The 17,144-nt window shown below is 40.7% G+C and overlaps 1 protein-coding gene and 1 long non-coding RNA gene across 8 annotated transcripts in view, besides 1 other annotated feature; one reads left to right on the forward strand and one right to left on the reverse strand.

Moving 5' to 3' along the window:
* The window catches only part of ADAR (adenosine deaminase RNA specific), a 45,941-nt gene extending 36,044 nt beyond the window's left edge, over nt 1-9,897 (reverse strand). For 3 of the 7 annotated variants that reach the window (NM_001365046.1, XM_047428340.1, NM_001365045.1), the window contains exon 1: nt 9,854-9,897. Coding sequence is in view for 4 of the 7 variants with exons in the window: in XM_047428340.1 (XP_047284296.1) it covers nt 9,854-9,895 (42 nt within the window). In the remaining 3 variants the exon portion in view is untranslated. Of the gene's footprint in view, nt 1-6,962; nt 7,050-9,754 lie in introns of those variants that run through there. The other 4 variants (XM_011509061.3, NM_001025107.3, XM_011509062.2 and 1 more) reach the window with 3 other exon arrangements.
* Nucleotides 8,983-9,768: an enhancer, noted in NCBI's record as "NANOG-H3K27ac-H3K4me1 hESC enhancer chr1:154599559-154600344 (GRCh37/hg19 assembly coordinates)". NCBI's record gives its function as "activates a minimal SCP1, AML or CMV promoter by ChIP-STARR-seq in naive H9 embryonic stem cells {active_cell/tissue: H9 hESC(naive)}" and the evidence as "EXISTENCE:reporter gene assay evidence [ECO:0000049][PMID:30033119]".
* On the forward strand, nt 9,856-14,296 carry LOC124904427 (uncharacterized). The gene is made up of 2 exons (XR_007066635.1): nt 9,856-9,967; nt 13,458-14,296. It is a non-coding gene; the product is annotated as an uncharacterized LOC124904427 (long non-coding RNA).

Here is a 17,144-nt window from a genome sequence, read left to right on the forward strand (position 1 = left end):
ATATAAGTATACCTTCTTCATATAGTAAGTATATATTCTTTATATACTTTAATGTTTTATTTGCTATTAAGAATACCATATTCTTAATAGCAAATAAAACATTAAATTAAAAAAAAGAAGTATCTAGGACTAACCCTAAGAAATGTGAAGAGCTTACATGTGGAAAATTACAAAACTCTGCTGAGGAATATATGTCTTAAATAGAAGGACATACCAGTCTCAAATGTGATGGCAGAATACTTTATGAATACTAATTAATATCAAATTAAATAACGATTTACTGCAAATACTATGAGGTTGGGGCAGTAAGGAGTGGATACCTGACAAAATGATTACTCTAAAGTTCAGATGCAATTAATAGGTCATTGGATGGGAATAAATAAAGTTCAAGTACAAGAACAAACAAAACAGTTTTTTAAAAAGAAGACAGCTACGCTAATTAAACCAAGGCAGCACTGGTATAAAGCAAGGGTAGAGCTTCAGACTAACAGAAAAGAACCACCTCCCTCCAAACAGAGCCTAGTATGTGCAGAAATCCAATGCATGATGAGGAACCAAAAACAGCAGTGAGAAAAAGCGTTATTCAACAGATGGAGCTGGGCCAACTGAATGGCTATTTGGAAAAAAAAAAAGTCTAGAGTCTAGCCTTATATTAATAAGCCAAAACAAATTGCAAATGTATTGACAGACTAAGTGTAAAAAAATTAAATAAAAACACCAAGAAGCAGGCCGGCCGTGGTGGCTTATGCCTGTAATCTCAGCACTTTGGAAGTCCGAGGCAGGTGGATCACCTGAGGTCACGAGTTTGAGACCAGCCTGGCCAACATGGCGAAACCCCGTCTCTACTAAAAATACAAACATTAGCCGGGCGTGGTGGCAGGTACTTGTAATCCCAGCTACTAGTGGGGCAGAGGCAGGAGGATCGCTTGAACCTGGGAAGCAGAGGTTGCAGTGAGCTGAGATTGTGCCACTGCACTCCAGCCTGGGCAACAGAGTGAGACTCCATCTCAAAAAAAAAGAGGCAGATAATGTTAGTGGCCTACGCTAGAACTATGCCTCCCTTTCTGAGAGTGCCCTGATTCTGTCCACTTTCCTAAGAAGGCCAGGTTCCCTCCCCAGCCCCAGAGGAAGGATGTTAATTAATCTAATTTAATCCAGTATTGAGGATTCTACTTCTTTTGTCAGTGATACATGTGATACATTTGTGGCCAGCAAACCACAAAAACAATCTGTCTGGGGCTGTCTGAGAAAAGGGCTCCTCGCTGGGAATAAGTGATGTCCAGAGGATAGCAAGGCAGTGGGCTGGAACAATGCTGGGTTGCTGAATCAACCATCATGGGAACTGTTCTGTCTGTACGAACCAACACAGCACTGCCTGAAAGACCAAAATACTCCTGATGATGTCTGAGAGGTGGGCTAACCTGTGATTTTATTGGCTTTTTAATAGCTTTCTATAATTTTTAAGTTCTTTTTAATAATAAAGCATGTATCACCCTCAAAATAAGAAGAGGAAGGTTAATAAGAACAACAACAAAAAAAACAAAACTACTTACTGCATGAACCTTCCCTTATGAAGTTCACAGTCTAGTAATGGGAACAGACATGTAAATAACTGACTAGAACATGTAATAAAACCACAATGGGATGCCGCTTCACAGCTACAGAATGGCTAAAATAAAAAAAGACTCACAATACCTAATGTTGGTGAGGATATGAAGCAAACTAGCATTTTTGTATACTGTGGGAACATAAAATGGTACGACTAACTATTCGAGAAAACTGTAAGGCAGTTTCTTCTAAGGCTAGACCCAGCATTTATACTCCTGGGTACTTACCCAAGAAAAATGGCCACAAAAAGACTTGTACAAGAATGTCCATAGAACCAGGGGCTGGAGGATGGGGGAAAAGAGGAGTTGTTAATGAATATAGTTTTAGATCTGCAAGATGAAAAAGTTCTGGAGATTTGTTGCACAACAATGTGACTATACCTAACACTACTGAACTATACACTTAAAAATGGTTTACGGGCCAGGCGCGGTGGCTCATGCCTGTAATCCCAGCACTTTGGGAGGCCAAGGCGGGTGGACCACAAGGTCAGGAGTTCAAGACCAGCCTGGCCAAGGTGATGAAACTCCGTCTCTATTAAAAATACAAACATTAGCTGGGCATGGTGGTGGGTGCCTGTAATCCCAGCTACTTGGGAGGCTAAGGCAGAGAATTGCTTGAACCTGGGAGGTGGAGGTTGCAGGGAGCCAAGATCGTGCCACTGCACTCCAGCCTGGGTAACAGAGCAAGGCTCCGTCTCAAAAAAAAAAACAAACAATGGTTTAAGATGGTAAATTTTATGTTGTGTATTTTACTACAATAAAAAACAGGAAAAAAAACTGTTCATAGAGCTTTATTCTTCTTAATAGCCCCAAACTGGAATAACCCAAATGTCAATCAACTAATGAATAAATAACTTGATGCATATTCACACAATGGATACTGACACATGCAACATGGTTGATCCTCACTGAAAGAAGCCACAAACAAAAGCACATACTGACATGAAATTTTAGAACAGGCAAAACTAATCTAATCTATAGTGATAGATATCAGACATCAATAGTGTTGGCCTTTGGGGGTAGTGGTGACTACCACAGGGGAGCTTTCTGAGGTAATGAAAATGTTTTATTTCTTGATTTGGATAGTTAAATGGATATATTTTTGTTAAAATACATTGAAAGGTACACATAAAATCTGTGCACAGAGATACACATAGTTATGCTCCCATGAAAAAAATCTTAGGGAAATAGTGAGGAAGAGGAACTGGAAGAGGCTGAATTTGTCATCTTGGCTACATGCTGAAAAGCTGTTGCCAAGCACGAGTGCCTCTTTAAACCAGACAGCCACACATAAATATCTTTTCATGCAGCAATTTATGGAAACGCTAAGAACACTAAAATTATGATTATCTATATATGTGAATCTTAGTTTTGTCAAGCAAGCTGTTCGCTATTCTGATAAATTATTTAAAAAGAAAAAATATAAGTACAGTAATATAAACATCCTTAAAACAAAACATAGACCTTTAATTAAAACTGATTTTATTTAAAATATTACACTATTTTCATCAAATATCTTATTAAAATCTGAAATAAAACTGAATGCTAGCTTTTTAAAAGTCATATGTAAAAATGCAAACCATAAAAAAAACTAGAATATAGAATAAGGAAAAAAACCTTTTTATGCTCACAAGCAAAAGAAATCAAAAAGAATAAAATTTGTCTAAAAAAGAATGAAAAATAGATTTGTATTTTTAATGATAAAGCCAAAATTAGATGGCAAACAATAAACTAAAAAGAATTAACTGCAAATAAAATTGTTTGCTTTTTACCATGAGGATAAACTCATGTTTTTCAGAATATTTGTATATTTTAAAAATCACTTAAACACAATAAGTGAATAGACAAAACATTAACCAAAAATTTAAAAAGTAGAAATAAAAATGGCTCAGTATGGGTAAAAAGGGCTCAAACAATTATAATAAAAAATGCAAATTAAAATGAGATGCTATTTCAAATTTAGCTAAGATTTTCCTTTTTTAGTAAAATACTCAGTTCTGGAGAGGAGGGTAGGGTGAGGGAGAGGCACAGTAAGTACTCAGGCATTGCTGATGGCAGTGGAAACTGGTATTCACTTCTTAGGAAGCAAATCAGGACTAAGCACTACAACAGAGTACTGCAGCTAGGCTGAAACTGCCGCTTGGATGTTTGGAGTAAGAGCGGGGTTAAATAATAACCCTGTCATTTCAAGTCTCTATTTGTAGGAGAAGTACTTTTTTGTTGTTGTCAAAAGAAAGAAAGGGGTATTTTTTCCCTTTCTTCATGTGTTGAGGTGTGGGTGTGGCGTGGCTAGGGTTCCCACAGATAAGGCATAACATGTAACCAGGAAGATGGATGTGCTCTGCAGGGGCCTGAGGATGTGGGTTTAGGCCCTCCCTGGGAGAGGGCTGAAGACAGATGCTTGAGCAGCCTATGTCCTGAAAAGCAGAGTGGGCTCTGAGCCACTGATTCCCCACCTGGCTCTGCCACATATCCTGCGGCAGAGCGTGGCTGCGTTTGGGTGAAGACCAAACAAAGGCGATGAGATGCAGTATGTTATATTTACTAGCTATGGCTGTAAAAACCTGAGGAAAGGGCAGGGACAAGACCTGTATCAGGCTGTTAGATAGCTCTACTTCTGGAGGGCAAGATGGACTAGATGCAGAGTAGTCTTATTTCTGTTCTTGAGTGTTTTGGTACTTAAAAAGAAAAAAGTTTTAAAGTTGACAACCCTTGGTCCCCAAACTCCAGTCCAAGAGTGAGTTGCTATTTATAAAGGACTAAGAACAGTGCCTGTCACCTTGTAAGTGCTTAAATAAATGTTTTAAAAATAAATACTCCAAGGAAAGGGCCCCAAAATATGGAGAAGGCCTTAATATACAACCTATCAAAGTTCAGAAAAGTTTGAGAGGAGTGAAACATCACACAGGGTAGAATTTCCAGCTGGAGGCTCCTTGGGCCTGACCTCTGCAGGTTCAAACACATATGGGAAGAGGTGTGCTACCTTCCTGGGATGCCATGGTACTCAAGTTTCAGATCTTTACAGTGAGAAGTGTATCTATCATGCAGACTGGAATGTTCATCAACATAATGCCAGTGTTTTCTTCCTGTGGGAAGATTTCCATTCATTCATTTAATAAACATTTACTGAACATATACTATATGCCAGTATGAGGCACTGTCCTAGGCCTCAAGGTAGTTTTGTTTTGCTTTGATCAAAGAAAATTCCTTTCCACATTGTTCTCATGAAGCTAATGAAAGACAGTCAATGAGGAGAGACAGGCAATAAATAAACAAATAAATATACAATGTCAGTTATGAGTGCTATGAAGACAAATAATACTAGCTAAGGGTAGGAGATAAGGAATACAAAGCAAAGGACACTCTGTCCTCAAGGGGCTCTCCGTCTAGTGGAGACATGACCAATAAACAGATAATTATCAAACAGAAATAACATCTACAAGGGGGTTGTGCTCAGGTGTTTATGGGAGCAGAGAGAAGGGATGCCTAGCTCATTAAGGAAGGTGTCAAGGAAGGCTTCTGGGAGAAGCATGACCTGAATCTAGAAGGATCAGCCAGATGAAGCAATGGGGAAGGGCAACCCAAACAGCAGATGCAAAGGTACAGAAAGGACGGAGAGCACATAATGGATGCCACAGTGGGAGTCAAAGTTTGATGGACAAACACAACCCACTGGATTCATTCCAGTTGGAAGGCTCTAGAAGGACCCCAAAGAAGTGAGATAAGAGCACACATGTAAGCACACATGTGTGCATACACACACCCCTGCAGTAGTCATGTGCTGTTTCTGCCTGCCTAGGACCTCTGAACTTCCCCATCCCATAAGGTTATGGACGGGCAGTTTACTTCCTCATCCCAAGAGTGAGCCTATGATGTAGACCTCTCCAATTGTGGTCTCCCTATTTCCTTGTCAGCAATGGTTAATTTACAACGCTAAAAGACAGCCATCAGGTCATAGGCTTGGGGTTGCTGACAGGGAGCTTTTTCAGTATGCATAGAGAAAGCAGCAAGAAGGCCGGGCACAGTAGCTCATGCCTGTAATCCCAGCACTTTGGGAGGCTGAGGCGGGTGGATCACCTGAGGTCAGGAGTTCAAGACCAGCCTGGCCAACATAGTGAAACCCCATTTCTACTAAAAATACAAAAATTAGCCGGGGGTAGTGACGGGCTCCTGTAATCCTAGCTACCCGGGAGGCTGAGGCAGGAGAATCACTTGAACCTGGGAGGTGGAGGTTGCCGCCAGCCAAGATCGTGCCACTGCACTCCAGCCTGGGGGCGACAGAGCAAGACGAGCAAGACTCCATCTCAAAAAAAAAAAAAGAAAAAGAAAGCAGCAAGAGAGAATGAAGTCAATAAAGAAAACGGAGCCGAAAAAGGAAGGGCCAAGAAAGCCCTCATGACATCATTTTAGCCCCAGGATCCAGCCATGCCTGAAGCTTGCCTTTGGACTTTCTAGTTAAATAATCAAAGGGAGGAAAAAACCTTTTTTTGCTTAAGTTAATTTACACTGGGTTTGTGCCACTTGCAAGTAGATTAATATACAGTCCTTTTGGAGAAGAGCTTCATTCTGTGTGCATGTGGCAAGGGGTGGTACAGAAGGAAAGGGAGGCTGATGTCAGAGGGTCTCACCTATTAAGTCTGATAAAGTCTGATAAAGATGGTGAAATAGGTAGCTTCAAGGTAACCAGAGGGTATAGAAGCAGCAACTAGACCTCCTTGGGTGGAGGAACTGAGGGGGGTGTAAGTCACAGTCTATATGGATGGGTTATATAAATTTTGTATGTTCCTAATAGTTCACTATACAACTACAAGTCATCTTTAAACATCTTTAAGACACAGAATAGCTCATCAAAAATACCAGGAATATCATCTGTTTAAAACTAGTGTACTATTCCTACAATGAATGCACATCAATCACAGGTCTTTCCCAAATATTTAATTTTGAGACAAACTTAATATTTTGAACTCTTTATCCCTGATGTCAAACAATCATCCAGTGTTCTCCAGAAAACTCAAGCAGTTGTACCCATTAAGGTCCAAGTCTAACAGATGTTATAGCAAAACAAATTGCTCTATCTCAAGAGATTACTACAGAAGCCCAAAAGCTCAGATTCTGTTGTTCACATATTTGAGAACTCTAATCAGTTGGTCACAGATAATACTACCAATCTTGGTCTGAAACAGGGCTTCAAATCTTTAAATCCATGAATCAGAAAAATGCTCATATTACAGTGTGTTATAGTATAAAAATAGCTGGCTTAAGGAGCCTGTGTGTAATAAGCACTGGGCCTCCTTCTGGCAGAAATAACAATGCCTCAGGATTTCTTTTTTCCACAAGCATTTTCCGAATACCTACTTTGTGCCCGTCATCCCAGCACAGTGTACCCATGAGCCTGTCCTTTTTCTCTGGGTGAAAAGGCCAAACCTTGGTTCATATCTGGACAATGCTGAGTAAAAAATGTAAAATAAAAGATAATGTATCATTAGACAATTTGAGATGTTATTCTTGCAGCCAATCCTGGCCCACTAAACTCTGTCTGGGCCTCCTTTCCCCCACTGCACCAGGTTTACATTGCTGGGATACTAGTCACTGAGAAAGAGCAAGACTCAAACCACATAGCCTGATGAGCAAGGGCAAGAGCAAGACTTGCTAGACACTGAGAAAGAGCAAGACTCAAACCACACAGCTGGCTTCAAGTTCCAGCTTTGCCGTTAATTAATGTCAGGACCTTAGCCAAGATTCACTTCTGCATCTATAAAATGGGGATAATATTTAGTGCACTCAGTTGTTAGAGGGATGAAATAAGTTAGTATATGTAAAGTGCTCAACACCGTGTCAGGTACATAGCAAGTGCTAAAGAGAAGCGAAAGGCCTGGCGCGGTGGCTCATGCCTGTAATCCCATCACTCTGGGAGGCCTAAGTGCGCAGATCACTTGAGGTCAGGAGTTCGAGACCAGCCTGGCCAACATGGTGAAACCCCATCTCTACTAAAAATACAAAAATTAGCCGGGCATAGGCCAGGCACGGTGGCTCATACCTGTAATCCCAGCAGTTTGGGAGGCCGAGGCAGGTGGATCACCTGAGGTCAGGAGTTCGAGACCAGCCTGGCCAACATGGTGAAACCCTGTCTTACTAAAAATACAAAAATTAGCCAGGCATGGTGGCATGCTCCTGTAATCCCAGCTACTCGGGAGGCTGAGGAGGGAGACTCACTTGAACCCGGGAGGTAGAGTTTGCAGTGAGCTGAGATCGCATCATTGCACTCCAGCCTGCGCGATGGAGTGAGACTCTGTCTCAAAAAAAAAAAAAAAAAAAAATTAGCCAGGCATGGTGGTGCACATCTGTGATCCCAGCTACTCGGGATAAAATTGAAAAATAATAAAATAAAATGAGAAGCTATAATTAATAAAGTGAGTTTTTTTTTTTTTGAGATACAGTTTCGCTGTCGTCCAGGCTGGGGTGCAATGGTGGATATTGGCTCACTGCAACCTCCACCACCTGGGTTTGAGAGATTGTCCTGCCTCAGCCTCCCAAGTAGCTGGGATCACAGATGTGCACCATCATGCTGGTCTAATTTTTGTATTTTTAGTAGAGACGGGGTTTCACCATGTTGGCCAGGCTGGTCTCGAACTCCTGACCTCACATGATCCACCTGCCTCGGCCTCCCAAAGTGCTGGGATTACAGGCATGAGCCACTGCACCCGGCCTAAAGTGAGATCTTCACCTCTTTGCAGTTCTAGAATTTAATGAAGTGTACAGCAGAGAGATTATGGATTTTGAGATTTCCCCTCCACTACCACCCCCAAGTCTGCATATCATATCTGGCAGAATAGCAAACATCTAAAATAGCAAAAAGTTCCCCTGCTTCTCAAGCAGCTGTACCAATAGGAAACCTTCAGCAAGGGAGCAAGTCCAAGCTCCTGGGTACTGGGCCCTTACTAATAATAGCTAGACACTTCGAATTCTGACACCTCGGGCAAGGTAGATATAATTATCTTCATTTTGTAGATAAGCCCAAGTAGGAGTGGAGAGGTTAAATAACTCATTCAATGTCAAACAGCTGCAAAGTGGCAGACCTGACTCCAAAGTTCATGTCCCCTTTCCACTCTATTTCCCTTTTTCCCATATAGCAAGCACTAACTGTTTGTAAATAACGACCAAGATATTTCAAGAGATCTTTAAAAGGATGGGAACAAGGCTTCTCTGGTGGAGAAAGAAGTTGGCATCACAACTGCTGACAGTTTGACGCCCCTGCCTTCTCTGCCCCCAATGACCCGCTCTAGCAATCCTGCCTCCCTCTCTAGCAACAAGACACTGTGTAGGCCTCTGTTTGCAAGTCTCCTCCCGTGGCAGCCTAGACTCTGCTCCCTCCGCTAATTGCATACTTGGGCTCCTCCACACAACATTCAAAATCCAATGACAGGTATCCCTTTTTGGAAGGCAAGTTTCCCAAACTCTGATACCAACACGAAACACCTGGGGCCGGATTACCCTCTAGTGGGGCCCCCAAATCAAGCTAAACAGAGAAGGAAGAGGAGGTGACGCAACTAGGCCTCCTGCACCAGGCCAGACAGGCTGAGCGCGGCGGCCGTGACCCCGCAGTGAGCTTTCCACAGTGGCCTCCTACGCCTTCCCTGTGGAAGGCACGCCAGGGCGGCGATGTTATCTCTGGGATAAAGGGCCGGTCCTAACGCAGTTTGTGGTAGAAGGCGCAGCAAAAGCGCCTACCGCGGCGAGTCCCAGGCAGCTCACTCTCCAGTCACTCTCCGAGGCGGGGGAGCCGGCGAGAGGGAAACAAGGGCCTTTGGTACCCAGCTGTTGGGCCTTTGGTACCCAGCTGCTGGGCTCCGGCTGGCACGAGCGCCGGAGCATCCGTGCGCAGCCTCTGCCGCCCACACTCGCGCACACACGGGCGCGCACACACGCACAAAAGTACACCGGCCCGGGCGTCCGCCTCCTGGAAGGCTGCCGAGACCGGCCACTGTGCCCCTACCAGCTGCGTCCCCACCCAGCCCTGCGGCCACCCTCAGTGCCCTGCCGGGGCGCCCCCACGCTTCCTCTAACATCAACGCCAGAGACTGGAGAGGCCGCATGGGCCGCGCGTTCCAGCCCAGGCAGGTGTAGCCGAGAAGGACAGAGGCTCTTACCGGGTCTTGCACTTCCTCGGGACACGGCCGGACACCCGGAGACTGCCAGTGCGGCCGCGACCCTCCCCCCACCCTCCCCCACCACGTAGCCTTCTCTACCTTCAGTCGGGAATCAATGGTCTGGTCGCAGATTGGTGACATCATTGGCGCGCCGGGCGTGGGAGGAAGAACCACGTGATTCAACCTCTTTTGTTTGCGCTCTAGGAAATTAAGGTTTTTGTTGCTACGTCTTCCTTGGTTTTTTACGTTGTGTTAATGCCGCTGTTTTGGGTACAGTGGGGAGTAGGTACATGGGTTTAGGATGCTGCATTTTTGCCCATGGCCTTGATTGAACTCCTTAGTCATTTATAACGTGGTTGGGCCGGAAGGCCTGAGAAGATACGTAGGTACAATCCTCTTTTAAAAAGACCACAGAATTAGCCAATAATACATTATAACCAGTAGTCTTTGAATGGCCCGTTTAAATTAAATTAAACGAATTCATTTTTAAAATAATATAATGAACACCTTCTTTAACTTGACATGCTAACCAAGAACTAAAATATTATCAATTAACTTTCATCAGCTTGTAAGTGGTCCCCATCTTGTGCCACTGCCTCTCCATCAGAAGTAACTCCCATCCTGAATTTGTGTTTACACAACTATTATATTGCTTTAATTTCTTTTCACATTTATATATATTACTAAGCAATGTATTTTTACTTTTCTTAGTTTTGTGTGTATTTCCAAACTCTCATCTAGAGGCCTGGGCCTGGTACATTTTTCTTTACTCATCTTTATTGACCGAAGTTACATTTTGTTCATTTTCACTGCTACATAAAAATCCATTATGTACCATAATTTATCCATTCTCCAGCTGCCAAGTCTTTGTGCAATTTCCAGTCTTTTGCTCTTTCCAACAGTGTTGGAAATCAGCATTGCTTTCTGGTGCCCCTGTGCAAAAATGTCTCTTGGGTGTATTTACCTAGGAATAAAATTGATAGGACTTTGGAATGCCAGTATTCCACTTTATATGATAGTACCAAATTTTTATCCAAAGTGGTTGTACCAGTTTATACTCCTACCAGCATCCACATCTTCTCTAACACCTCAGATTTCTTGGCTTTTGCTAATGCATGGTCTCAAACTGCCCTTATTGAGGTTAAGCATCTCTTTTAAATATGTATTGTCCATCTGTAGTTTCTCTTCTGTGAAATGTCAGTGTAGGGCATTTGAGGGATTTTTAGGGCTGAGCAAGAAAAAATATATGACCAGGAGGTGACAGTAGCACACTCAAGCTTTATTTGTGTGAGCTTTGACAGGTTTGTATTTAGGGGAAGTCCTTGGCAGCATGAGAAGATCCAGAGATTGGGGGTGGAGAGGAACCATCCAAAAGGGGAAAAGAGAAGGAAACTTCCAGAAGAGAGTGGCCTTACCATGTCCAGGTGATGTTGTTCAGCGGCCTGTGGGAAGTCTCTGTTTCAGAAAGCTCCCAAGGGCAGCAGCAAATTGGAGTCTTCATAAACCACAGATTTATCTTATCTATGACTAACAGATGTTGGGCACAGTTTCATGAGGTATACAAAGCAGGCAAGCAGCTCTAAATGCCTAAAAATCTGCTTAGTTGTGTTATATTTAAAATGCCTGGATGTATAAACATTTGAGTTAGGTGCTGAAAGGCTTTTGAGATAATAGATACCAGCTTGCTGTGAAGAAATAAACAACTCAGGGACCCAGATACAGAGGCCATCTTTGGCTCTTTATATAACAGTCAGTTTGAGTCTTTTATTATTGTTTTAGTGGATTGTTTGCTACATTATTCACAAACTTAGGGCACTGATTCTTCATCAGTTATATGTGTTGCAAATTTATCCTTCCATATGTATCCTTTCATTTTCTATTTTGGTAGATGTTCTTAACTTTGAATTTATTAATATTTATCCTGTTTTTCTTTTCCCCGTACCCTAATATTTATTCACTTACTCTTACTCCTAAAAATCTTTAAATCCTTATTCTCTCTGGAATTTACTTTTGTATATGGTGTGAGGTAGGGATCCCATTTTACTTTTTACATACAAATGACCTTTATTTTTCCCCAGGTTTGTTTATTGACTAGCCCCACCTTTCCCAACTTTCCCACCTTTCCCAACTTTGTTATATATCAACATTCCAGTTACTTATGGGTCTATTTCTGATCTATCTATTCTCTTCCACTGGAAAATTTGTCTATCTTGATGTCAACACCACATTATTTAATTACCACAGCTTTATAAAAAGTCTTGATATTTAGTAGTGCAAAATCTCCCTTTTATTCTTCATCCATCTTCTTTTTTTGGGCTATGCTTGGTCTTTAGTTTTCCCATATTTTAAGGCAAGCATCTCAAGTTGCACACACAAACAAGTTGCACACACACACACGCAGCAGTAACAACAACAAAAACCTGTTGGCATTGCATTGAATAATAAATAACTAATATATAAATTTGGAGAGAATTGACATTTTATGATTCTGAGTCTTCCATAAGCAAGGGATAACTTTCTTTTTATTAGGTCTTCATTAATGCTTTAATTTGGATTTATTATTCTCTTTGTCCAGATCTTGCACATCTTTTGGGGATTTTATTCCTAGATTCTTTGTAGTTTTTGTTGCTATTATAAGTGATGTCCTTTAAAAATATGCTTTCTAATTTTTTGATGATCATATAGAAATAAATTTGATTTTTGTACATTGATATTGTATCCAGCCACAATGCTAAACTCTTGTTTGTAGTAATTTATTTATTGATTCTTTTGGATTTTGTATGTAAACAATCATTATCTGAAAATAATGCCAGTTTCCCCCTTTCCTACGCCCAACCCTTATTGCTTTTTATCTATCTTAAAGTGTTACACTGGTTTGGCCAGGCTCAGTGGCTCATGCCTGTAATCCCAGCACTTTGGGAGGCCAAGGCGGGCAGATCATGAGGTCAGGAGATTGAGACCATCCTGGCTAACATGGTGAGACCCTATCTCTACTAAAAATACAAAAACTTAGCCGGGCGTGGTGGCGGGTGCCTGTAGTCCCAGCTACTTGGGAGGCTGAGGCAGGAGAATGGAGTGAACCCGGGAGGCAGAGCTTGCAGTGAGCTGAGATTGCACCACTGCACTCCAGCCTGGGCGACAGAGCCAGACTCCATCTCAAAAAAAAAAAAAAAGTGTTACACTGGTTTGGGGGAGAAGGCAGTGCATTGTTCCAGTACAGTGTTATTGGAAATGGTGATAGTGGGCATTCTTGATGCTCTTGATATTCGAAAGGGAAACTTAGTATTATTTTTGTATATTTTATGATAAAACATTTAGAATGATATTTTTGTAGGCGTTTTGTAAATCTCCTTTATCAGGTTAAGGAAGGTACCTTTTATTCCTAGTTGAATAAAATTTAAAAATCTTGAATGGATTTGAATTTAATTTATTTCTACATCTATTGAAATCATCACACAATTTCTTTCTCCCTTTAATATGTTAATATGGTAGATGACATTTATAGATTTTATATTAAACTACTTATCCTTGCATTCCTAGGATAAACAACTGGACCATAAAGTCTCAATTTTATATGCTATTGTGCTCTATATATTCTATGTCTATGTTATATTCTATGTAGGATTTTTGCGTTTGTGTTTATGAAAAACATGGACTTGTGATATTCCTTTCTCATTCTGTCTTGATCTGTTTGGGTTTCAAGGCTCATAAAGTGACATAAGGAGTATTCCCTTTTTTTGTATCCTCTGGAAGAATTTTAATAAGATTGGAGTGATTTTCCTTTCAAGCATCAGTAGAATTCACCAGTAAAACTGTCTGGAGCTGGGTGCAGTGGCTTACACCTATAATCTCAACTACTTGAGAGGCTCAAGCAGGAGGATCACTTGAGGCAAGGAATTCAAGACCAGACTGAGCAACAAGACTCCATCTCCAAAAAACAAAAACCAAACAAAACAGAACAGAACAGCACAGCAAAACCATCTCGGCTGGGTATTTTCCTTGTGTGAAGTTTGTAAAATACGACTTTGGTTTATTTAATAGTTATGAAACTGTTCAATTATTTTCTTTCTCCTTGAGTCAGTTTAATAAAATAATAGGTTCTAGAATTTTTTCCATGTCATCTAAGGGTTTAAGCTCATTGGCATAGTTATTGATTGTATTATCTTCTTAATCTCTGCTGTATTTATAGCTCTTTTTTCATTTATAATATTACTTGTGGTAGACTGTGTTATTGCTCTCCAAATATTTGTTCCTTTTCTTATAAGAGGACTATACATTTCTACCTAATGCTATGTGACTTGAGGTGACTCTTGTGACAGAAGAATGCATACCCAACCAGCTGTCAATGGGCTTGATCATCGTACATGAACAGAAACTTTAAAAGATATCGTACATGTTTCTACCAGCTTTCTTGCTCTTTTCTCTCTTCCATGAGAATGGCATGTGCGTGATTGGGGACCCCAGAATGAAGAATACATGTGGAGGAGAGCCCAGCAGAGTCAACATATATAGCAAATAAGAAATAAACACAGAGATTTGGGATTTTGTAGTTACCAAAGCATATTATAGTGAAAACTGACTGATAAAAATTATTTGCCTTTAACTTCTTATCATTTTTTCTTAGATAAATCATTGCAGAGGTTTATTTATTTTGTTGGTATTTTTCAAAGAACCAACTTTGTCCTTGTTGATTCTCCCTGTTTTCTATTTCGTTTCTATCTCTAGTTCTGCTCTTATAATTATCCCCTTCCTTCCATTTTCTTCGAGTTTATTCTGTTATTTCTTAAAGTTGTGTGTTTAGTTTATTAATTTTCAGCCATGTTTTTCTTGTCTTTAAAAACATTTAAGGCAGTAAATTTCCTTCAAAGCACTGCTTTCTGTATCCCACAAGTTTTGATATATAACATTTTTATTATTATTCAGTTCAAAAATATTTAAATTTTTATTGTAGTTTCTTCTTTGACTCATTATTTAAAAGATATGTTCTTGCCAGGCATGGTGGCTCGCACCTGTAATCCCAACACTTTTGGAGGGTGAGGCTGGAGGATCATTTAAGCCCAGAAGTTTGAGACCAGCCTGGGCAAAATAGTGAGACCCCATCTCTACTAAAAAAATAAAAATAAAAAATTAGCCAGGCATGGTAGTCCTAGCTACTGGGGAGGCTGAGGTGGCAGGATCACTTGAGCCCAGGAGTTTGATGCTGCAGCCTGGGTAACAGAGACCTTGTCTCTTCTGACATATTTGCATTGTTATCATAATTTTTATTATACTTTTAGGTCGGGCATGGTGGCTCATGCCTGTAATCCCAGCACTTTGGGAGGCTGAGGTGAGCAGATCACCTGAGGTCAGGAGTTCGAGACCAGCCTGGCCAACATGGTGAAGCCCCATCTCTACTAAAAATACAAAAATTAGCTGGGCATGGTGGTGCCCGCCTGTAATCCCAGCTACTCAGGAGGCTGAGGCAGGAGAATCGCTTGAACCCAGGAGGCAGAGTTTGCAGCAAGCCGAGATGGCGCCATTGCACTCCAGCCTAGGCAACAAGCGCAAAACTCAGTCTCAAAATAATAATAATAATAATAATAATAATAATAATAATGTTTATTATACTTTTATTTAAAATGTAGTGATATTTGCCTAATTGGTTAATTTATAATCTAATCTGAGAAATACAAGCTTGATAAGAATTTGTATTCTCTCATTGTTAGGTACAAAATTGATATATGTCCATTATTACAAGATTGTTAGTTTTGTTGTTCAAATATCCTGTATCTTTGCTTTTTGTTTTCTGCTTGAATTACCAGTCACAGACAAAAGCATGTTGAAAAATCTCCCACAATGATGGTAGGTTTGTCAGCCTCTCCAGTTTTTATCAATTTATGCTCCCTGTACTTGGAACACATTTTGTTAGGTGCTTATGTGTTTAGAATTGTGTTAACATTTTGGTGAATTAAATTTTATATCATGACACAGTTATCCCTTTATATCCCTACATTGCTCTTTGTCTTAAAGTCTGTTTTGTCTGATATTATCATAGACAAACCAGCTTTCTTTTAGTGAGTGTTTACTTGTAATATTTGCAATCCTTTTACTTTCAACCTTTCTAAGTTCTTTTGCTTTAGATGTATTAATGTATACAGCTGTATTAAAAAGTCCTAACTGATCACGCCTGTAATCCCAGCACTTTGGGAGGCCGAGGTGGGCGGATCACAGGGTCAGGAGATTGAGACCATCCTAGCTAACACGGTGAAACCCCGTCTCTACTAAAAATACAAAAAATTAGCCGGGCGTGGTGGCGGGCGCCTGTAGTCCCAGCTGCTGGGGAGGCTGAGGCAGGACAATGGCGCGAACCTGGGAGGCGGAGCTTGCAGTGAGCCGAGATTGCGGCGCCACTGCACTCCAGCCTGGGTGACAGGGCAAAACTCCATCTCAAAAAAAAAAGTCCTAACTGATCATCTGTCTTGTTACTATTAATTTTGTTCCATGTATATTTATTATGATTTTTTTTTTTTTGAGACGGAGTTTCGCTCTTGTTGCCCACGCTGGTCTCGGCTCACAACAACCTCCACTTCCCAAATTCAAGTGATTCTCCTGCCTCAGCCTCCCAAGTAGCTGGGATTACAGGCATGCAGCACCACACCCGGTTAATTTTTGTATTTTTAGTAGAGATGGGGTTTCTCCATGTTGCTCAGGCTAGTCTCAAACTCCCGACCTCAGGTGATCAGCCCACCTCAGCCTCCCAAAGTGCTGGGATTACAGGCTTGAGCCACCATCCCTGGCCTATTATGATTCTTTATATATTTAGACTTTGATTCTTCCTTTTTTATTTCTATTTGTTCTACATTTTCTAGGTCTCTGGGCTTTTTTTTTTTTTTTTTTTTGGCTTTTTTTTTTTCGGGCTTTTTTATTTTTTATTTTTGATTAACTGAGTTCTTTTTGCACCTTTCCCCCTCTTCCATGTTTTCACTAAAGATTTGGAATTATACTTTATTTTTTTAGAGGTTACTTCAGAAATGTGTCATGTATTTTAATCTAACAAGGCATAAAGTTTAAATATGTTTACCATTCTCTTCTAGATAGCATAAAACATTTAGAATATTTTAATTATTTTCTTACCTTTTCTGACTTATATGGCACTGTTGTCTAATTTTTTGGTTCTTTCTTTTCTTTCTAACTCCACAAATTAGTAATTGTCATTTTATTTTACATAGGCAATGTTAGGATTTATATACAGGGAAATAAACAAAGCTAATATGAGGATGTGTTTGCAAAGTAGCTGCCACTAAATGCATCTGGGCAGCTCAATCTATGGGGCTATCCTCCAAGAAGTTGTATTAAGTGTGTCTCGGGAAACTATGCTTGAGGGAATAGTTTAAAGATATCTTCAATCCCT

Source organism: Homo sapiens, chromosome 1 (genome assembly GCF_000001405.40).
Source record: "Homo sapiens chromosome 1, GRCh38.p14 Primary Assembly".
In the NCBI taxonomy this organism is placed as follows: domain Eukaryota; kingdom Metazoa; phylum Chordata; class Mammalia; order Primates; family Hominidae; genus Homo; species Homo sapiens.